The 22,740-nt window shown below is 38.1% G+C and overlaps 1 long non-coding RNA gene across 1 annotated transcript; it reads right to left on the bottom strand.

Annotated features, from left to right (window-relative positions):
- Window positions 1-8,790: 8,790 nt before the first annotated feature.
- LOC105377961 (uncharacterized) lies at window positions 8,791-22,529 on the bottom strand. The gene is made up of 3 exons (XR_942906.3): window positions 22,291-22,529; window positions 9,822-9,927; window positions 8,791-8,942 (listed from the first exon to the last, which is right to left on the bottom strand). It is a non-coding gene; the product is annotated as an uncharacterized LOC105377961 (long non-coding RNA).
- Between the last annotated feature and the right edge of the window lie 211 nt (window positions 22,530-22,740).

The raw sequence follows: 22,740 nt of genomic DNA, 5'->3' as shown, positions 1-22,740 counted from the left end.
GCAGCAAAGCATTCAAGAGATGACTTGGGTGCTGTTAAAGGCATTCAGTTTATAAGGGAAGCACAACATAAAAGTTCAGAAAATTCATAGCCTGACAACGTGATAGAAAAGAAAAGCCCATTTTCTAAGGCAAAATCCAAGCCAGTTGCAAAAATTTGCATAAGTAACAAAGATCCAAATGTTAATTTCCAAGACAATGGGGAAATTTTCTCCAGGGCATGTCAGAGGTCTTCACAGCATCCCTTCCCGTCACAGGCCTGGAGGCCTATGAGGAAAAAAATGGTTTCATGTGCGTCACAGGCCTGGAGACCTATGAGGAAAAAGTGGTTTCATGTGTGGGCCCTGTGCTGTGTGCAGACTAGGGACTTGGTGCCCTGCATCCCAGCCACTCCAGCCTGGGCTGAAAGGAGCAAACTTAAGAGTTCAGCCATGGCTTCAGAGGGTGCAAGCCTCAAGCCTTGGCAGCTTCCACATGGTGTTGAACCTGCAGGTGCAGAGAAGTCAAGAATTGAGGTTTGGGAACCTTCCCCTAGATTTCAGAGCACGTATGGAAATGCCTGGGTGCCCAGCATAATTTTATAAAGAAGACCAAGAATACATGAGGTCCTCATGGAGAACCTCTGCTAGGGCAGTTTAGAAGGGAAATGTGGGTTGGGAGCCCCCATACAGAGTCCCTACTGGGGTATCACCTAGTGTAGTTATGAGAAGAGGATCACCATCCTCCAGACCCCAGAATGGTAGATCCACTGACAGCTTGCACCGTGCACCAGGAAAAGCCACAGACACCCAGTGCCAGCCCGTGAAAGCAGCCTGGAGTGAGGCAGTTGTTGCAGGAAGTCAGGGACCCTGAATGGAGGGACTGGCTGAAGCCATGGCAAAAGAACATAAATTGTGAAGATTTCATGGACATTTATTAGTTCCCCAAATTAATAGTTTTATTATTTCTTACGCCTGTCTTTACTGCAATCTCTGAACATAAATTGTGATGATTTCATGGACACTTATCACTTCCCCAATCAATGTTCTTGTGATTCCCTCTGCATGTCTTTACTTTAATCTCTTAATCCTGTCATCTTCGTAAGCTGAGGATGAACGTCGCCTCAGGACCCTGTGATGATTGTGTTAACTGCCCAAATTGTTTGAACAATATGAAATCTGGGCACCTTAAGAACAGGGTAACAGTGATGTTCAGAGAACAAGGTAGATAACCTGAAAGTCTGGCTGCCTGTGGGCCAGTCAGGAAAGAACCATATTTCTCTTATTACTGAAAATGGGTAAGAGAAATATTGCTGAATTCTTTCCCCAGTAAGGAATATTAATAATTAACAGAATTATTAATATGATTAATTATTATTAATCATATTAATTATAACTAATCAATATTAATTATTATAATTAATAATTCTGAGGAAAGAATGCATTCCCAGGGCGGGGCCTCTAAAATGGCTGCCCTGGGAGTGTCTGCCTTTATGCAGATGTAGATAGGGATGAAACATGCCCTAGTCTCCTGCAGTGCCCCCAGGCTTGCTAGGATTAGGAAATTCCAGCCTGGCGAATTCTAGTCAGACCGGTTCTCTGCTTTTGAACCCTGACAATGCGTGCACAGCAGGACATGGAAGTTCATTAGTGATTCTAGTTTCACCCTGACCTTCTGCCTTGTGATCTTTTGTCGCCCTTCAAGCATGTGATCTCTGTGACCCACACCCTATTCGTACACACCCTCCCCTTTGAAAATTGCTAATAAAAACTTGCTGGTTTTATGGCTCAGGGGGCATCACAGAACCTGCCGCCATGTGATGTCTCTCCCGGACACCCAGCTTTAAAATTTCTCTCTTTTGTACTCTTTCCCTTTATTTCTCAGACCCACCAACACTTAAGGAAACAGAAAAGAACCCATGTTGAATATCGGGGGCTGGTTTCCCCCAATAGCTGTACCCTGCAAAGCCACAGGGGCAGATCTGCCCAAGACTATGGGAACCTACCTCTTGGATCAGCATGACCTGGATGTGAGACATGGAGTCAAAGGACCTCATTTTGGAGCTTTAAGATTTGACTGCTCCACTGGATTTCAGACTTGCATGGGGCCTGTAGCCCCTTTGTTTTGGCAATTTCTTCCATTTGGAATGGGTATGTTTACTCAATGCCTGTACCTTCATTGTATCTAGGAAGTAACTAACTTGTTTTCGATTTTACAGGCTCATAGGTGGAAGGGACATGACTTGACTTGGATGAGACTTTGGACTGTGGACTTTTGAGTTAATGCTGAAATGGGTTGAGAATTTGGGGGACTGTTGGGAAGGCATGGCATGACTGGTTTTGAAATGTGAAGATAGGAGATTTGAGTGGGGCAGGGGGCGGAATGATATGGTTTAGCTCTGTGTCCCCACCCAAATCTCATCTTATAATTCCCATAATTTCCACATGTTATGGGAGGGACCCAGTAGGAGATGACTGAATAATGAAGGGGGGTCTTTCCCATGCTGTTCTCATGATAGTGAATGGGTCTCAAGAGATCTGATGGTTTTAAAAAAGGAGTTGTCCTGCACAAGCTCTTTTTTTGCCTGCTGCCACATGTAAGATGAGACTTGCTCCTCCTTGTCTTCCATCGTGATTGTGAGGCCTCCCCAGTCACATGCAACCGTGAGTCCAGTTAAGCCTCTTTCTTTTGTAAGTTTCCCAGTCTCTGGTATGTCTTTATCAGCAGTGTAAAAACAGAGTAATACACATCATATCACTGACAATCGAGGACAAGAATACAAATGCAAGCCCACATACTATATGCCAAACATTCATAGCTAAAAATGGAACTACCAAAATGTTGAGTAAAATGTTTTACCTCCTTGCCTTCATAATGATTTTTAAAAAATCAAAATACTATGATTATATTACCAAACACTGGAACATATTTAGAAATCAAAATTGAATTTTTATTATGTATGTATTATTTTCTGCTGATGAGTCTGCAATTTTTAGCTAAATCAAGACACATATAATTCTTTAAAGTCTTATTTATTCTTTAAAATTAATCTTCCTTTTTATTTCAGCAAAATCACTGATTACTTAATGAAGATTTTAAATAACTTGTGTTCTATTGATGATATAAATGGTTAAAAATTATTTATATTTAAAATAAACAGGCTTTGAATATACTTTTATAGAAATGTAATATGTTAGTATAAAAACTTGAAAAATTTAAACTATTTTCAGATATATTCAAACTTACTTTTCTTCTAAAATATTTCAGCAATATGTAGTAAATGCAGAATCCAATAATTAATAAACAACAAAAGTTAAAGTTTAATTATTTAAATTTAGCTACATTTTTAGTTTAATTTTTAAAATATCTGAAATCTTATAAGATATTTTTGTGGAAAGAAAACTTAGAAATTCTCATGTTCAATGTCCATCTCCTTGCTAGTGTGAAGAATATAAACCATACTCTAAGCATGTTACATTTAGGCTTACATAGACATATATTTAAGAGTGAAAGCCTTTTTAAACAATGCTAAATATTCCTCAGCTGCCACGGGAACTTGTGAAACAGCACTAATTCTGAGTACCTTTGGAAACATGAATGGAAACAGATCTTCAGCAAGAAAATGAGTGCTCAGCTCATCTAGGAATGATTCTGTTATATTAGAGACCAAAGCATCATGCTATCTGAAGGAAAGGATTTTGCAATTTAACTAAGTTTGCTTTTCTCTTACCTAAGTGCATATGCTGTTCCAATGTTCTCCATACTCCATAGCAGTGTCAGCATCCTTTGACAATATCAGCAACATAACATACAAACCTTCACATCATTCAGACATGGTGGCCTTTGGTTTTGAAGACAAAGCATAAAATGTGAAAAAGTCTTTCCCTAGAGTCTGAGAATCATGTTTGGGGTTATAGGTTGTCCTGATTTGATGCTGAACACCAAAACCTGAGAGTCAAAGCCCTTAAAGCATGAATTGTTTTTGTGCTTGTTACATGTGGTTCCATCCAAATTATGGGGCTCATATGTAAAGGTGGTACTGATCAACTGCCCATTACAATGTAAGCTTGTTAAGAACTGAGACCTTATGTTTTCTTGTATCCACAACATCTTGCACAGAGAAGGCCCTTAAATATTGGCAGATCAAATGAATAAATGACCTGATAAACCTTAGGACTTGGGGCTTTTAACATCTCACATTTTTGTGAGATGTAGCACTTATAACTAGGCTTACATGCTCACATGTTCCACTTGGTTGTCTGTATAGCAGTGTAGCCATAAGTCAAGTGTTATTCCAGACTTTTGGACATCTCTTCAATCCAAAACCTTCCTTTATTTTGTTAAATATCCTTTGGAGGGAGAATTTGAGAAGAGACACTGAGGAAATCAAACACCAACCTGTAAAACTAGTAATTACCTGTTGTCCACAAACCTGTAAAGCTACTGAATCTTGTTATTTTTTGGAGGAGTAGTACCTGTGAGTTCACAGCTGTATACAATCAAAGCAGATGTTTTCAAAATGTGAAGACAGTACTGCTATAAGCATCCTCTGATTTATGGCTAAGTGGTTAGTTTTCCCCTTTTTTCACTGAATTATGAAAAATCTCATTCATAGATATATGACATATTATTCTGTTCTTGAGTTGCTATAAAGAAATACCTAAGGCTGAGTAATTTATAAAGAAAAGAGATTTAATTGACTTAAAGTTCTGTAGCCCATGTAGGAAGCATGGTGCCAGCATCTGCTTCTGGGGATAGCCTCAGGAATCTTCCCGTCATGAGGGAAGGTGAAGAGGGTACAGGCATATCACATGGTGAGAGGGAGTAAGAAAGAGAGAACTGGGGAAGGTTCAGACTCTTTTAAACAACCAGATCTCAAAACTGTAAACTAACTAAGCAAGAACTCACCAATCAGCAAGGAGATGGTGCTAAACCATTCATGAGAGATCCGCTCTCATGACCCAATATCTCCCACCAGGCCCTACCTCCAACACTGGAAATCACATTTCAATATGATATTTGGAGGAGAAAAACATCCAAACCATATCATATGGGAACTCCATTAGTGACATATGTGAAGAGTCAAAATCCCTAATTGGATCTCTGATTTGCCTAATTATAAGTGGAAGGTGTTTTTCTATTTAAATCCTCTCATTTACTTTTTGAAAATCCAAAACTGAGAAGAATCTGGACATCTTGTAAATAGTTCAACAGGTTGGGATTTAGAGGTATCAGGGATAAATTCCAGTGGTGATTTCACAGAAACTCTACAAAGCTCATTCCTCTTTTTTCATGTAAAGAATACTAAGGCTTTAACTGATGGGGTAAAGAGACCATTAAACTCTTTTATGAGACAAATATTTTATAATTTCATTATCTGCCAAGATGATGGTAGTAAGGAGTTTGAGACCATCAAATATGTAGTCTATGTGATAGTGGATCATGACTCTCCAGAGGCCCTATTCCCAAAAGTAAGGAAGCAAGAATGTTTCACAGTTATCTGGTTGAGTGGATTGTATGAGAATGAATGGGAGTTCATTGCTATGACATTGTACTTAGACTCAAAGGGCAGAATTTCCTTTAAAATGCCCAGCGATTTTCTGAACCCTATGCAAGGCAGACTAGGTTAAGATGGTTTTTTTTCCCTTGCAGTCTCTGAAAGCCTAGCTTCTCATGTTTTTCTAAGTTCCTGATTCACTGATTTCTGGATTTTGCCAGTCATTACAGGCCACAATGCAGAAGGAGAGATTTCCAGATGGCACTGCTAGGGCTTTCAACCTGGTGGTTTGAAGCCATTCTTCAAGGGATTGTCAGAGACTCTATTGTGGCTCTATTGCAGAAGTACTGGACTGGGTTGGTTTATTGCTGGCATAGGCAGGGTATGACAAGATAAGAACAGGGGTCAAGCTTGAATTGTGGCCTCCCGTATGTAATCTAAATTTCTTTTTAAAGGATGCACCATATTTCCAAATTTTATAGGTTTTCTTTAAAATGTATCAGAGTAGTTTTCTCTAAAAAGAATTGGTCAACCTCTGTGGAAACAGGTTCAAAGACAGCTTCATTCTAGTCTAGGCTCTCAAAAAGGAGATAGAATAGGGTGGCTTTACAGAACATTTATCTATTGCCTAAACTGACATATATTATTCATATTATTTCATCAACTTAATATTAGTGAAGTTTCCAATAAGTGATGGCTATTGGTCTAAGCACTATCATGTTTTGAAAAGTGCCCTTATGAAGGTATTCACGGAGTGATGTTGGTACAGACAAGTGAGACACTATAAGAACATCAGGAAAAGTGACATTTGGACTAATATTTGACAATTATGTAGTCATTCACCAGGTGAATAAAGGGCTAGAAAGGCTTCTAGTAAGATAAAGCAGCAACAATGTCAATGAAGTAAGAAAGAATATGTGGCATGGATGTAGCTGACTACAGCTGGATAGAGGTTGAAGACGTGGAAAGCGCTGAGAATTCACAGGGGTCAGATCATGATATCAAAGGAGCCACTGAAGAATGTCATGCAAGTGAAACAAAGATAGATCGGGATTTTTAAATAAAAAGTCTGGCACTGGCAGAAAGATGGAAAATAAGTTGGAGGAGAGAAAATTGAGTATATTAGGGTTCTCCAGAGAGACAGATCCAATAGGATATATGCACACATAAAAGGGAGTTTATTAGAGAGAATCGGCCCATACGATTACAAGGCAAAGTCCCACGATAGGCATCTGCAAGTTGGGGAAAAAGAGAAGCCAGTAGAGGCTCAGTCCAAGTCTGAAAGCCTCAAAACCAAGAAAGCTGATAGTGCAGCCTTGAGTCTGATGCTGAAGGCAGGAGAGCCCCAAGGGAGACCCGGAGTCCAAAGGCTGTAGAACCTGGAGTCTGATGTCCATGGGCAGGAGAGAGGAAGAAAAGCTTGTAGCAAGGGAAGAGAGAGAGCAAGAAATGCTGCAAGCTGCTTATCCTCCTCCTTCTGGCTGCTTTGTTCTTACCCTGCTGGCAGCCAATTGGATGGTGCCCACCCACATTGGCACCTCTTAGAGTCTACCAAATCAAATCTCAATCTTCTCTGGCATCACCTTCCCAGACACACCCAGAAACAATACTTCACCAGCCGTCTAGGCATCCTTTGATCCAATCAAGTTGACACATAATATTAGCTATCTCATCGGGGTAGAAGTTGAACTGTTTGCTCAGCTTTCCAGTTGAGAGAGGATGAAGGAATAGACTGGCAGTAGGCATAGAGAAGAAAGAATAAATATGTAAGACATTAAAATGGCAGGATAGACACATCTTTATTGTTGATTGGATATGAAAGGTTTGGGAGAAAGATTTAAAGGTTACTCTGGTACCTTTGGCATGCCTGTTTGGCATTTCCCAAACTAACTGCTCACGTGCCCTGGGGTACCATCAAGGACTCACAAGATCCTGTACAGTATTTTCAATGTTTGAGGGAAACACAGCGATATATGTAGGGCACAGAATAAACTATTAGCTTGAGATAGTTCACACATTTAACCTTAGATTGTGATCCATTCCTTTCAATGATGTCATATTTTTGTGTTTTCAGTGGTTGTGATAAAAATCAAATATTACTAAAAATCAATGCAGAATAACAAATAAAGGTAGACTTGTACACCATGACTCCAAGGTTTGAGAAGCTGCACAGAGTAGCACAGGCACACATTCCATTAGCAAGTAACTGTGGTTAAGACTGAATAAAAATGCTATCTTTTAGATTTATTTCCATTATTTTTTCAAACAGCTACTAAATTGTTAGGACCAATCCATTTATTAAGTTGTTTGGACCTAATTGATTCATAAATAGAATTGTTAAGTACTTCTTTTCTTTTAGATTTGGTGTGAAAAAATATTGAGACATTAAAGGCACCATGAACTGAGACTGTTTAAAAACCTCTGGCCTAGATGGTTTCAAGAGAGAGCCAGAGAGAATGCTGTAAAATTGACCTGTGCAGATGATGAGGATACACGGTGCAATGAAATGTCCAAACTGTGTGATTGCTAGCAAGGGGAGGAGTAGGAGCAGTAATCAGTTGTTAGAAAACAGAGATTAATATGGGGATAAAGGTAATACCTACTACTACATGTTGAGTACTCACCCTATACCAACCACAGTGGTGATACAGGTCAGTAGGCATTATCAGTCTCCATCCTCCCAGCAACCATGGAAGCTATGATTATTATCTCCTGATCAAGACAGCTTTAACTTTCCCCTCAGCTTGACAAAACTGTAGACAGGCTTCTTTCTGACTCTAAGCCCCTAATGTCCCTTTTTTTTTGAGCATTTAAAACTTTAAATTGTAGAATCATTTTCTGCCTCTTTCAGATATAAATCTTCTGCTAGCCTCCTGCCAGTTTTATAACCTGAGAATGTCTTTCTCCAGGATGTGGGAGCTAATCTTTTGAAATGTAATCAGGGAAGGAGATATTGCCTCTATCTCCTAGTCTCTGTGGGATGGTGGGTACCTAATTTTCATGTGCCAATTAATAAACTCAGATGGCCTTATCACATTAACCAACCTCCCCAGTTTCCTCCAGTACTTTTCCACCTGCTCACCTCAAGGCTTAAAAAACCCCTACCTGTTTCAGAAGAATTAACCTTAAATTATTTCTTCTATTTCAATAGTCTTGAATAAAGTCTTCTTTGCTTAACTCCATCAATGCAACTTTACTATGACAGTCACCATTTTACAGATATGGAGCTGAAGTTTATAACTTGCTGGAACTTACACAGCTAGTAAATGATGGAGACAAGTTTCTAACCCAGGTAACCTGAGTTCAGAGCCTAAGGGCATAAAGTATGGTACAGGTTCACTCTTGGAAAGACGCAAAAGCATAGGTTTTCTTGGTTGAGACAACAGAATTTGGCCTTTTGATAGTTCCAAGTTGGTCGGGTCCAGACATCAGACATCATCATTAGGTTGGCCAGGGAATAATATGTTCCTAAAACCACCAACATGAATTGTTACTAAACTTTCATGCTTTCCAAATTTCCAGTAAGTAGAAGCAAGAAGAATTCTAAATTTGGGATGGGGCTAAATTCTAGATAATATGGAAACAGCAGTCCAAAAATTCTTAATATTGGACTAAAAACTCATAGAGCTAGAGACTGCAGTACACTTGAACAAGAGTCCAGAACTTAGAGTCAGAGAGACTCAGTTCATGTGACAATTCTGTCTGGGTACCAATTATGAGATTATAAACATAAATCACTTATCACATAGTATCCACTAAAAAATATATAGACCAAAAAAAGTCTGTTTTGATACCTATGTTTATTGTCTTAATAAGAAATGTCTAGATTCCTGCTGTAGCTATAGCTTCCCCTGGCTTTAGAGTGTTTGTTTAAAGAAGCATGTTTATACTATATAATTTGTTGTTTTAGATGGAAGGTTTATGTGGCATTGCTTGAACAGTAATGAGTTTGCTTAAACAACGCTGCATGACTGCCGTCCTTTGGGACGCACAGAAAATGAGCCTCTTGTGAGTCAATCTTAGCAATGAAAAAATTTACAATAAAATTGGCTTCCGCTTTGTGTGCAGTTAATATCCACTTGTACAAGGTAAGCTGATACAGAATATCAGCATGGGTTCTCACCAGGGAGGTCCTCTTGAGACTTGTAAAATAAATGATCATTACTGTCATGCCCCAGTGGTATCTTTTTTCATTCCAAGCTGAAACTCCATTTTGACATTACAATATTTTCTTATGCAAATTGTAACTATCAGCTTTATATTGCAAGGATCTATTTCTCTGCAGATAATAGTAGTACATTTTCTAGAAATACAGGTTTGGGTTAAACTTCCTAAGTGCTCTCTTACCATTTAGGCAAGTATGAATCTCTCCCTCCAGCCTGGCTCCAGGTAACCATGATAAAGCAGCGGAAGATAAGAGAAGAACAATAATTCGCTTTGATCCAGGTGTTCACTAGTTTATGGCAAATTTGGAAAATAAGAGAGTTTCAATTAATTGCCATCTCAACTGAATAATGAATCCAAAATGTTGGATATCTCTGCAAGGAGTTCTACTGAGGTTTTTAGTGCATAAAAATGACTACTGCCTGTTTTCTGTGCTAGTTAACTCCTGAACAAGGTAGTGAGGCTTGGCTCTAGCATAGGGTTGAGTGAGTTAGGTGAACCAAACAGATTATACTGCTTTGATTTTTTTTCTTATCTATATATTTCTGAATTTGGGAAATTAATCGGTGGGAATAAAATAAAAGATGTAAGTCAGCCTTTGCTCATGACTCATTTCATTCACTAATAGCTAAGAATTAGGTTTATGATATACATAAGTAACCTATATGGTAAGAAAGTGAATCACATTTGTGAAAGTGACTGATTTCCAGTATGGATAATAGTTTTATTTAAAAAGAAAGTAATAAACACCAACCCAATAAACTTTCCAACCAACTAACAATCAAACAACAACAGATAAATAAAATAGCTGAGCATACTTAGTGAGAGTTTGATTTTGTGTTTCTTACTCTTAATCTCAGAGGGGAGAAACAAGTAATTCCTAGTTGTTCTGGTGCTATAGGCATGTGGATAAATTCATTCATTTAGCTATCCTGTTCTATGTATGTAATTGTGTGATTCATTGGACCCTAGCAGGATTTAAAAGGTTTCTTATTGCCAAGAATTGACTTGTCCACTCCTACCTTTCACTCCTTTTTGTTTTTTCACATTCTAGATCCTAAAATAAAAGTTGAATTCCCTAAAGTTAGCATCATCTGTTTCACATCTAAATTGCTGAGAATAAAATAAGTGGAAGTTGATGGCTGATCATAATAATGTTAATATAGCATATTACAAATTCCCTGTAGGTGTGTGTTATGGCTAAATTCATTCGACCCACATTTAATAATATAAAAATTATTTTAACGTTATGATACCTCTATATAAAACATATAAATAAGATGTTACGTTTTGAGATTCATGACAATTCTGACCTGCCCATGAATAAGGAGTGTCAGATTTGGCAAGCTCTATAATGATATATCCCTCTGTATCTGAGATCTGAACAGTTGGAAGCACCTAGAGAGAAGAAAGATGTGTCTGATCCACCACTGAGACAATGAAACTGTCCTTAACTCTGAACTGTAAACTAGCATATTTTTGTAAGTATGTGTGTGCATGTTTTCATGGCATAGAATTGAATTGTGAACATTGACAGTGGAAGCCTGAATGTCCTCTGAATAACTCTGCTTCATGCTGCCTCATGTTTTATGCAGATTATACTTTTTCTGGAATTGCCATTGCCAAACTACATTAAATTTTAATACACTTAGGAACAATTGGATTGTAAAAATTACTGTTAATATCATCATGTTTATGTAGAAAAAAATTCACAAAACTTTGAACATTTTCAAAAGAGACATGGGGAAGAGGAGTAGTTTGAATGATAGTAGAGAAAAAAAATGATTTCTTTTTTCTTTTTTTTTTTTTTGAGATGGAGTCTTGCTCTGTCACCCAGGCTGGAGTGCAATGGTGCGATCTTGGCTCACTGCAACCTCCACCTCCTGGGCTCAAGCGATTCTCCTGCCTCAGCCTCCCGAGCAGCTGGGATTACAGGTGCCCACCACCACACACAGCTAATTTTTGTATTTTTAGAAGAGATGGGGTTTCACCATGTTGGCCAGGCTAGTCTTGAACTCCTGACCTCATGATCCACCCACCTCGGCCTCCCAAAGTGCTGGGACTACAGGCATGAGCCACCGTGCCCAGCCAAAAATTATTTCTTTTAGTCTAAATAAAATTCCACTGGGTGCTTGGTGTTAAAACTTAGGCCGATCCTTCGCAATAAGACACATTCAGGTGGCAATCTTTATTTTTGTTAAAGTGAGCTTAGGGGCTAGTCAGTCTCTTTAGGCTAAATTTGTCTTCAGAAATGAGTCCGTAATATATACAGAAATTTTCTGACTAAAGAAAATATACGATAATTATACAATGATATATGATAAATTATGTAACCTATTAACTGTATATTTTACATATCTGAATAGCTCTTTGTATACTTTCTATATTTGATTTACAGTAGAATGAGTACTGATATTGAAATATTTGTTTTAGAGATTTTCAATTCCCATGAAAATTTCATAAATAAAATGTAAGATTTTTTAATACCATTGTCTTAGATGCATAGATTATCCTAAAAAGCTAATGAAAACAAAATTATTTTTTAATAATTTCCTAGGAAATTCTGGATATAATAATAATAGTAGTAATAATTAAATATGTAGTAAATTAAAATGAAATGACTATTTTCATCTTTCACTATTCACTCAAGAAAGTTAGTGGAATTAGATAATTTAAAGAGACTGGTAAAGGCTTATTGAGTTTTAAGGTTTATATATAAGTGAATGTATTGGGCTAAAGAAAAACACACTCTGCAAAATATATGAATATTAGAACCACTGTAGATGGTCTTGGATAGATTTGTTGCTTCTTGCTTACTTTGTTAAACAGTTTATAGTTATTCACAGTCTTTAATATTTATACACACACTATTTCTGGCAATTTCATTCCTTCCCGTAGATCTGAGTTTCTATTTGGAATTATGCCCTGTCGCCTGAAAAACTTCCTTTAGCATTTCTTGTATTGAAGGTCTGCTAAATAAATTCTATCAGTTTTTAAAAAATATAACAAATTCACTTTTGACGGATAATTTTGCTAGATAAAAAATGTTGGTGAAAATGTTTTTTTCTTCCGTTAATGCTTTTTAATGTTATTAAACCATTGTCTTTATATCTACATTGTTTATGATGAGAAGTTTCTTTACATTTTATCTCTGGTCTTGTACATGGTAACCTTGCATACAATGTGTCATTTTAATCTGCATACTTTTAAGGTTTTTTCTTTACCTTCATATTAAGCAATTTGTCTGTGATGTGCTTTAGTATGGTTTATTTCATAGTATTCTGCTTGAGATAAACTGGACTTCTTGGAACTGTATGTGAAGTTTCTCACTACATTTGGAATCCACTATTTCTTCAAATGTATTTTTTTTTTTTGAGATGTAGTCTTGCTTTGTCACCCAGGCTGGAGTGCAGTGGCATGATCTCAGCTCACTGCAAGCTCCACCTCCCGGGTTCAAACCATTCTCCTGTCTCAGCCCCCCGAGTAATTGGGACTACAGGCGCGCCCATCACCACACCTGGATAATTTTTTGTATTTTTAGTAGAGTCGGGGTTTCACCATGTTAGCCAGGATGGTCTCAATCTCCTTACCTCTTGATCGACCCGCCTCGGCCTCCCAAAGTGTTGGGATTACAGGCATGAGCCACCGCACCCAGCCCAAATGTATTTTTTTCTATCCTATATGCTCTCCTGAGCTTCACTCATGTTGTTGCATATTATCAGTAATTCATTCATTATATTGCTAAGTAGTATTCCTTTGCATGGATGGATGTACCACAATTAGTATACCTGTTCACCAGCTGACAAACTTTTTTTTCTTTTCTTCAGTTTTTGGCTATTGAAAATAATCCAGGACTAAAGGGAGAGAACTATAAAATGCCCTGTATTTTTTTCTTTTAAAAAAGAAACAAAGGAAGAAGAAAGAAAGAAATAACTGTTTCAGAAAGTTTATGACCCCCCAAATTTTATATGACCAAATATCAAAATACTTTAACAAAAAATTGAGGCTGCCTTCCTCCAAATATTGTTTTGAATATATTTCATTTTGGCCTACTAGATAGTTTCACAGTCAAAGGAAAATCTTGTAACTCTATTCTTTAACTTCCAAATAATATTCTATGGGATGTAATTCAATGTAAATTAAATTTTCATTACTTCATTTAAAGTTTGCTGTAGAGAGCTGGGTTCCAAGATGGCCGAATAAGAAAAGCTCTGGTCTGCAGCTCCTAGCGTGATTGACGCAGAAAACAGGTGATTTCTGCATTTCCAACTGAGGTACATGGTTCATCTCATTGGGACTGATTGACAGTGGGTGCAGCCCATGGAGGGCAAGCTGAAGCAGGGTTGGGTGTTGCCTCACCCAAGAAGCACAAGGGGTCAGGGGATTTCCCTTTCCTAGCCAAGTTAAGCAGTGACAGACTGTACCTGGTAAAATGGGACACTCTCACCCAAATTCTGCACTTTTCCTATGGTCTTAGCAACTGGTGGACCAGGAGATCCTCTCCTATGCCTGGCTTGGCAGGTCCCATGCCCACAGAGCCTTGCTCATTGCTGGCACAGCAGTCTGAGATTGACCTGCAAGGCTGCATACTGGTGGGGGGAGAGGTGTCCGCCATTGCTGAGGCTTGAGTAAGTAAAGAAAGCTGCCAGGAAGCTCAGACTGGGTGGAGCCCACCGCAGCTCAGCAAGGCCTACTGCCTCTATAGACTCCACCTCTGTGGGCAGGGCATAGGTGAAGAAAAGGCAGCAGAAACTTCTGCAGATTTAAACGTCCCTCTCTGACAGCTCTGAAGAGAGCAGTGGTTCTCCCAGCATGGCATTTGAGCTCTGAGAACAGACAGACTGCCTCCTCAAGCGGATCCCTGACCTTGGGTAGCCTAACTGGGAGACACCTCCCAGCAGGGGCTGACAGACACCTCTTACAGGCAGGTGCCTCTGGGACAAAGCTTCCAGAGAAGGATCAGGCAGCAATATTTGCTGTTCTGTAATATTTGCTGTTCTGCAGCCTCTGCTGGTGATACCCAGGAAAACAGGGTCTGGAGTGGACCTCCAGCAAATTCCAACAGACCTGCAGCTGAGGGACCTGACTGTTAGAAGGAAAACTAACAAGCAGAAAGGAATAATATCAGCATAAACAAAAAGGACATCCACAACAAAACCCCATCTGTAGGTCACCAACATCAAAGACCAAAGGTAGATAAAACTACAAAGATGGGGAGAAACCACAGCAGAAAAGCTGAAAATTCTAAAAACCAGAGAGCCTCTTCTCCTCCAAAGGATCACAGCTCCTCGCCAGCAACAGAACAAAGCTGGATGGAGAATGACTTTGATGAGTTGACAGAAGTAGGCTTCAGAAGGTCAGTAATAACAAACTTCTCCAAGCTAAAGAGGCATGTTCTAACCCATCGCAAGGAAGTTAAAAACCTTGAAAAAAGGTTAGACAAATGGCTAACTAGAATAAACAGTGTAGAGAAGACCTTAAATGACCTGATGGAGCTGAAAAACCATGGCACAAGAACTTTGTGACTCATGCACAAGCTTCGATAGCCAATTCAATCAAGTTGAAGAAAGGATATCAGTGATTGAAGATCGAATTATTGAAATAAAGTGAGAAGACAAGTTTAGAAAAAAAAGCTTAGCAAGAAATGAACAAAGCCTCCAAGGAATATGGGACTATGTGAAAAGACCATATCTACGTTTGATTGGTGTATCTCAAAGTGACGGGGAGAATGGAATCAAGTTGGAAAATACTCTTCAGGATATTATCCAGGAGAATTTCCCCAACCTAGCAAGGCAGGCCAACATTCAAATTCAGCAAATTCAGGAAATACAGAGAACACCGTAAAGATACTCCTTGAGAAGAGCAACCCCAAGACACATAATTTTCAGTTTCACCAAGGTTGAAATGAAAGAAAAAATGTTAAGAATAGCCAAAGAGAAAGGTCAGGTTACCCACAAAGGGAAGCCCATCAGACTAACAGCAGATCTCTCTCTCAGCAGAAACTCTACAAGCCAGAAGAGAGTGAAGTCCAATATTCAACATTCTTAAAGAAAAGAATTTTCAACCCAGAATTTCATATTCAGCCAAACTAAGCTTCATAAGTGAAGGAGAAATAAAAACCTTTACAGACAAGCAAATGCTGAGAGATTTTGTCACCACTAGGCCTGCCTTACAAGAGTTCCTGAAGGAAGCACTAAACATGGAAAGGAACAAACCATACCAGCCACTGCAAAAACATGCCAAATTGTAAAGACCATTGATGCTATGAAGAAACTGCATCAATTAGCAGGGAAAATAACCAGCTAACATCATAATGATGGATCAAATTCACATGCAACAATATTAACCTTAAATGTAAATAGGCTAAATGCCCCAATTAAAAGACACAGACTGGCAAATTGGATAAAGAGTCAAGACCCATCAGTGTGCTGTATTCAGGAGACCCATCTCATGTGCAGAGACACACATAGGCTCAAAATAAAGGGATGGAAGAAGATCTAACAAACAAATGGAAAGCAAAAAAAAAAAAAAGCAGGGGTTACAATCCTAGTCTCTGATAAAACAGACTTTAAACCAACAAAGATCAAAGAGACAAAGAAGGCCATTACATAATGGTAAAAGGATCAATTCAACAAGAAAAGCTAACTATGCTAAATATATATGTACCCAATACAAGAGCACCCAGATTAATAATGCAAGTCCTTAGAGACCTACAAAGAGACTTAGACTCCCACACAATAATATTGGAAGATTTTAACACCCCACTGTCAATATTAGACAGTGGTCAATGAGACAGAAGGTTAACAAAGATATCCGGGACTTGAACTCAGCTCTGGGCCAAATGAACTTAATAGACATCTACAGAACCCTCCACCCCAAATCAACAGAATATACATTCTTCTCAGCACCACATAGCACTTATTCTAAAATTGACCACATAATTGAAAGTAAAGCACTCCTCAGCAAATGAAAAAGAACAAAAATCACAACAAACTGTCTCTCATACCACAGTACAATCAAATTAGAACTCAGGATTAAGAAACTCACTCAAAACTGCACAACTACATCGAAACTGAACAACCTGCTTCTGAATGACTACTGGGTAAATAACGAAATGAAGGCAGAAATAAATAAGTTCTTTGAAACCAATGAGAACGAAGACACAATGTACCAGAATCTCTGGGACATTTAAAGCAGTGTGTAGAAGGAAACTTATAGCACTAAATGCCCACAAGAGAAAGCAGGAAAGATCTGAAATCAATGTCCTAACATCACAACTAAAAGAACTAGAGAAGCAAGAGCAAACAAATTCAAAAGCTAGCAGAAGGCAGAAAATAACAAAGATCAGAGCAGAACTGAAAGAGATAGAGACACAAAAAACCCTTCCAAAAATCAATTAATCTAGGAGCTGGTTTTTTGAAAAGATCAACACAATTGATAGACTGCTAACAAGACTAACACAGAAGAAAAGAAAGAAGAATCAAATAGACGCAGTAAAAAATGACAAAGGGGATATCAGCACCAATCCCACAGAAATACAAACTACCATCAGAGAATACTACAAACACCTCTATGCAAATAAACTAGAAAATCTAGAAGAAATGGATAAATTCCTTTACACTTACACCCTCCCAAGACTAAACCAGGAAGAAGTTGAATCTCCGAATAGACCAATAACAGGCTCTGAAATTGAGGCAATAATTAATAGCCTACCAACCAAAAAGCATCCAGGACCAGATGGATTCACAGCTGAAATCTACCAGAGGTACAAAGAGGAGCTGATACCATTCCTTCTGAAACTATTCAAATCAATGGAAAAAGAGAGAATCTTCCCTAACTCATTTTATGAGGCAAGCATCATCCTGATACCAAAACCTGGCAGAGACACAACAAAAAAAAAGAGCATTTTAGACCAATATCCCTGATGGACATCGATGCAAAACTCCTCAATAAAATACTGGCAAACAAAATCCAGCAGCACATCAAAAAGTGTATCCACCACGATCAAGTCTGCTTCATCCCTGGGATGCAAGGCTGGTTCAACATATGCAAATCAATAAACGTAATCCATCACATAAACAGGACCAGCGAGAAAAACCACATGATTATCTCAATAGACGCAGAAAAGGCCTTCAACAAAATTCAACAGCCCTTCATGCTAAAAACTCTCAATAAACTAGGTATTGATGGAATGTATCTTAAAATAATAAGAGCCATTTATGACAAACACACAGCCAAATCATATTAAATGGGCAAAAGCTGGAACAATTCCCTTTGAAAACCGGCACAACAAAAGGATGTCGTCTCTCACCACTCCTATTCAACACAGTGTTGGAAGTTCTGGCCAGGGCAATCAGGCAAGAGAAAGAAATAAAGGGTATTCAATTAGGAAAAGAGGAAGTCAAATTTTCTCTGTTTGCAGATGACATGATTGTATATTTAGAACACCCCATCGTCTCAGCCAAAAATCTCCTTAAGCTGATAAACAACTTCAGCAAAGTCTCAGGATACAAAATCAATGTGCAAAAATTACAAGCATTCCTATATACCAATAACAGACAAACAGACAGCCAAATCATGAGTGAACTTCCATTCACAATTGCTACAAAGAGAATAAAATACCTAGGAATCCAACTTACAAGGGATGTGAAGGACCTCTTCAAGGAGAACTACAAACCACTGCTCAACGAAGTAAAAGAGGACACAAAAAAAATGGAAGAACATTCCATGCTCATGGATAGGAAGAATCAATATCATGAAAATGGCTCAAGATAATTTATAGATTTAATGCTATCCCCATCAAGCTACCAATGATTTTCTTCACAGAATTGGAAAAAAACTAATTTAAAGTTCATGTGGAACCAAAAAAGAGCCCGCATTGCCAAGACAATCCTAAACAAAAAACAAAAACAAACAAACAAAACAAAAACAAAGCCGAAGGCATCATGCTACCTGACTTCAAACTATACTACATGGCCACAGTAACCAAAACAGCATGGTACTGGTACCAGAACAGGTATATAGACCAATGGAACAGAACAGAGGCCTCAGAAATAACACCACACATCTACAACCATCTGATCTTTGACAAATCTGACAAAAACAAGACATGAAGAAAGGATTCCCTATATAATAAATGGTGCTGGGAAAACTGGCTAGCCATATGTAGAAAGCTGAAACTGGATCCCTCCCTTACATCTTATACAAAAATTAATTCAAGATGGATTAAAGACTTAAATGTTAGACCTAAAACCATAAAAACCCTAGAAGAAAAACTAGGCAATACCATTCAGGACATAGGCATGGGCAAAGACTTCATGACTAAAACACCAAAAGCAATGGCAACAAAAGCCAAAATAGATAAATGGGATCTAATTAAACTAAAGAGCTTCTGTACGGCAAAAGAAATTACCATCAGACTGAACAGGCAACCTACAGAATGGGAGAAAATTTTTGCAATCTACCCATGTGACAAAGGGCTAATATCCAGAATCTACAAAGAATTTAAATTTACAAGAATAAAACACCCCCATCAAAAAGTGGGAAAAGGTTATGAACAGACACTTCTCAAAAGAAGACATTTATGCAGCCAACAGACACACGAAAAAATCCTCATCATCACTGATCATCAGAAAAATGCAAATCAAAATCACAATGAGATACCATCTCACACCAGTTAGAATGGCGATCATTAAAAAGTCAGCAAACAACAGATGCTGGAGAGGATGTGGAGAAATAGGAACGCTTTTACACTGTTGGTGGGAGTGTAAATTAATTCAACCATTGTGGAAGACAGTGTGGCGATTCCTCAAGGATCTAGAACTAGAAATCCCATTAGATCCAGCAATCTCATTACTGGGTATATACCCAAAGGATTATAAATCATGCTACTGTAAAGACACATGCACACATATGTTTACTGCGGCACTATTCACAATAGCAAAGACCAACCCTAATGTCCGTCAATGATAGACTGGATTAAGAAAATATGGCATGTATACACCATGGAATTCTATGCAGCCATAAAAGGATGAATTCATGTCCTTTGCAGGGACATGGATGAAGCTGGAAACCATCATTCTTAGCAAACTATCACAAGGACAGAAAACCAAACACCATGTGTTCTCACTCATAGGTGTGAATTTTACAATGAGAAACCTTGGACACAGGGCAGGGAACATCACACACTGAGGCCTGTCGGGGGGTTGGGGAACTAGGGGAGGGATAACATTAGGAGAAATACCTAATGTAAATGACGAGTTGATGGGTGCAGCAAACCAACATGACACATGTATACCTATGTAACAAACCTGCACGTTGTGCACATGTACCCTAGAACTTAAAGTATAATAAAATTAAAAAAGCTTGAAAAATAAAAAAATAAAGTTTGCTGTAGATATACAGTTTGGTGATTTTGATCTATTTTTGTTAAAGAACAGAACACATGATTTTTAGTGTTTCTAGTGGACAGGTTAAGGTGACTTCCTGCCTTTTATTTTCATAGTAAACGTTTTTCTCCAAGGTCAGAGATGATACCGGTGCTCTCTTGTGTTTCTGCTATTAGGTGAGGATGATAAATTTGGCTTTCATAACCATTCTGAGAGAGTGCTTGCCACCAACACATTTGCATTATAAATGGAAGGTGTTTTTCTAGGAAGTGAGTTTCTAGGTTTGGCAAAAAAAAAAAAAAAAAAAAAAAAAAGCCTTAGACTCCTCAGCCTTAGCTGTGGCACTATTAGTCTTCTTCTGGTTTCAAGTGAAATATTGTAGAATTTTCCATAAGGTGTGTAAGCAGATTGAAACCTGTTAGTTTCATGAGGTAGTTAACTTTTTGGTTTGTGGATCAGTTTCAGTTTTTTAAGAGTTAAATAATAATAATGTATATACATATTAGGCCACTTCCTTTGAATGTTTCAGAATACATTCTAGACTTTGCACGATTAATCTACACAAGGGAACAAGAAAGGAACAGATAGGACTTTTTAGAAAATTCTAAACAAATAAGAAACAGGTAATTAATTCAGTGTCCGTCTCCCTTCAATTTTGAAATAATTATGATATGAAGTTGCCACAAATTACAGTCATGGATGGCATAATGGTGTTTTGCTCAATAATGGAACTCATATATGATGATGACCTCTTAAGATTATAATATTGTATTTTTTTCTGTACCTTTTCTATGCTTATTCTTAGATACTCAAGTACTTACTATTGTGTTACAATTGCCTACAGTATTCAGTAGAATAACATGCTGTAGAGGTTTGTAGCCTAAAAGCAATAGGTTGAACCATATAGCCTAGGTGTAAAGTGGGCTATACCATCTAGGTTTATGTAAGTACACTCTATGATGTTAGCACACAGCAAAAGTTGCCTAAAGATGCATTTTTCAGAATGTGTTTCCATCATTAGGCAATGCATGACTGCATATTAAAACAGCTTCTTCGTCTCCTCTGCACTGCTCATCCCCTCCCTACACCCCAATCCTGTGCCATTTAAGATTACTAGTATTAAGAATAAAACTTCTCTTTTAAAATTACTGTTTTTTTTCTTTTACTATTATTTTAAATTTAAGGGTATGTGTGTAGGATGTACGTTTGTTACATGTGCCATAGTGGTATGCCGCACAGACCATCCCATCACCTAGGTATTAAGGGCAGGATCCATTAGCTATTTTTCCTGATGCTCTCCCTTCCTCCTCCTCCCACCCCTGACAGGCCCCAATGTATAACAAACAAACAAACAAAAACCCAGCATATCAAAGAGCAGGAAGAAATTTACTCTTGTTTGTGAGTGTGAAAGGGAAAAAAAGAGAAATTAAATGACCTTTGATAGGATTTTGAGGACCTCTGTGAAGACAAGGGAAGAGAGAAATTCCAGGCAGAGGGAGGAGCATATAGAAAATTGCAAAAGTGGAAAGAAATGTATGCTGTGTTTAGGGATATATTATTGAGTCTCTATAATGTAAAAAAAAAAAAAAATAAAAAAATAAAAACGAGAAACATGCAGCAATGTAGAAGGCCAGAAAAACTGATACGTAGGGCAAATCCAGAAAGGCCTTTTTTGTTAGCCAACATACCTGTAGTGGACATAAAGTCCAAGGAAGTGCCATGACTAGTTATGGATTTTAGGTAACAGAATCTGGAGCATTGTGTAGAATAAAGTGCAAGCTGAAGGAAAGGAGCCTGAGTAGCTGGAATTAAAAAGTCTAGGCATGAGATAAGGATGGTTTATGTAGTGGCCACAGTGATGAAGAGAGGGAAGAGAATTAGCAGATATATTTTAAAGGATTTATATCATAACTGGGGTAAGAATCAGATAGGGAGGGTCTAGGTCGATTCCCACTTTTTTGTCTTGGATGTGTGAGAGTGTGGCAGCATTGTCAGATATATAGGATGGAGCAGGAGACTGACTTTAGAGAAGCAATGTAATGATACTGTTATTTGTAGATCTTTACTTCATTGTCTTTCTTTCTGGAGAGAACCTACGGCACCCATAAATCTGGGTTTGTACAGGACTGTCCCCAGTTTATACCTGTTGTCTCAGGTGCTGATTAATAACTGATAAAGTATACAGTCACATTAGCTGTGATGGAGTGCTGCATTGAAAATGATTTTTCTTTTATCACTTGGAAAGATCTTACTTTTGAATTTACCTGTTCATCTTTAAAAGTCAGTGGAATGCAGATTCTAAAGCCATTTTTGTTCTTGTTCCCACCTTTCAAGACAAGCTCATTCTTCTGAAGTCAAACTAATTGACCCTTCTATTCTCTCAAATCACTTGGTGAGCACCTCTGTCAGATTCCGTACCACATTGTATTATAACATATGTAGAATTATTCTCTTACGGACGCATTTTCTCCAGTAGGTTGTCAAAAATTTCCTGACAGCTAGACCAGTGACTGTCATACAGAAGTGCTCAATATATATTTTTCATCTTACATGTACATTGATTGTTCTTATATATGTGTGTTGTGATGTCATAATTGATTGCAAAGTTAAGAGATACATTATGGCAGGGCATGGTGGCTCATGCCTGTAATCCTATCACTTGGGAGGCTGAGGTGGATGTACCACTTGAGCCTAGGAGTTTGAGACCAGCCTGG

This window comes from Homo sapiens, chromosome 6 (genome assembly GCF_000001405.40).
Source record: "Homo sapiens chromosome 6, GRCh38.p14 Primary Assembly".
NCBI lineage: Eukaryota > Metazoa > Chordata > Mammalia > Primates > Hominidae > Homo > Homo sapiens.
Note: the sequence above shows the minus strand (reverse complement) of the source record. Positions and strands in the feature narration are given on the sequence as shown.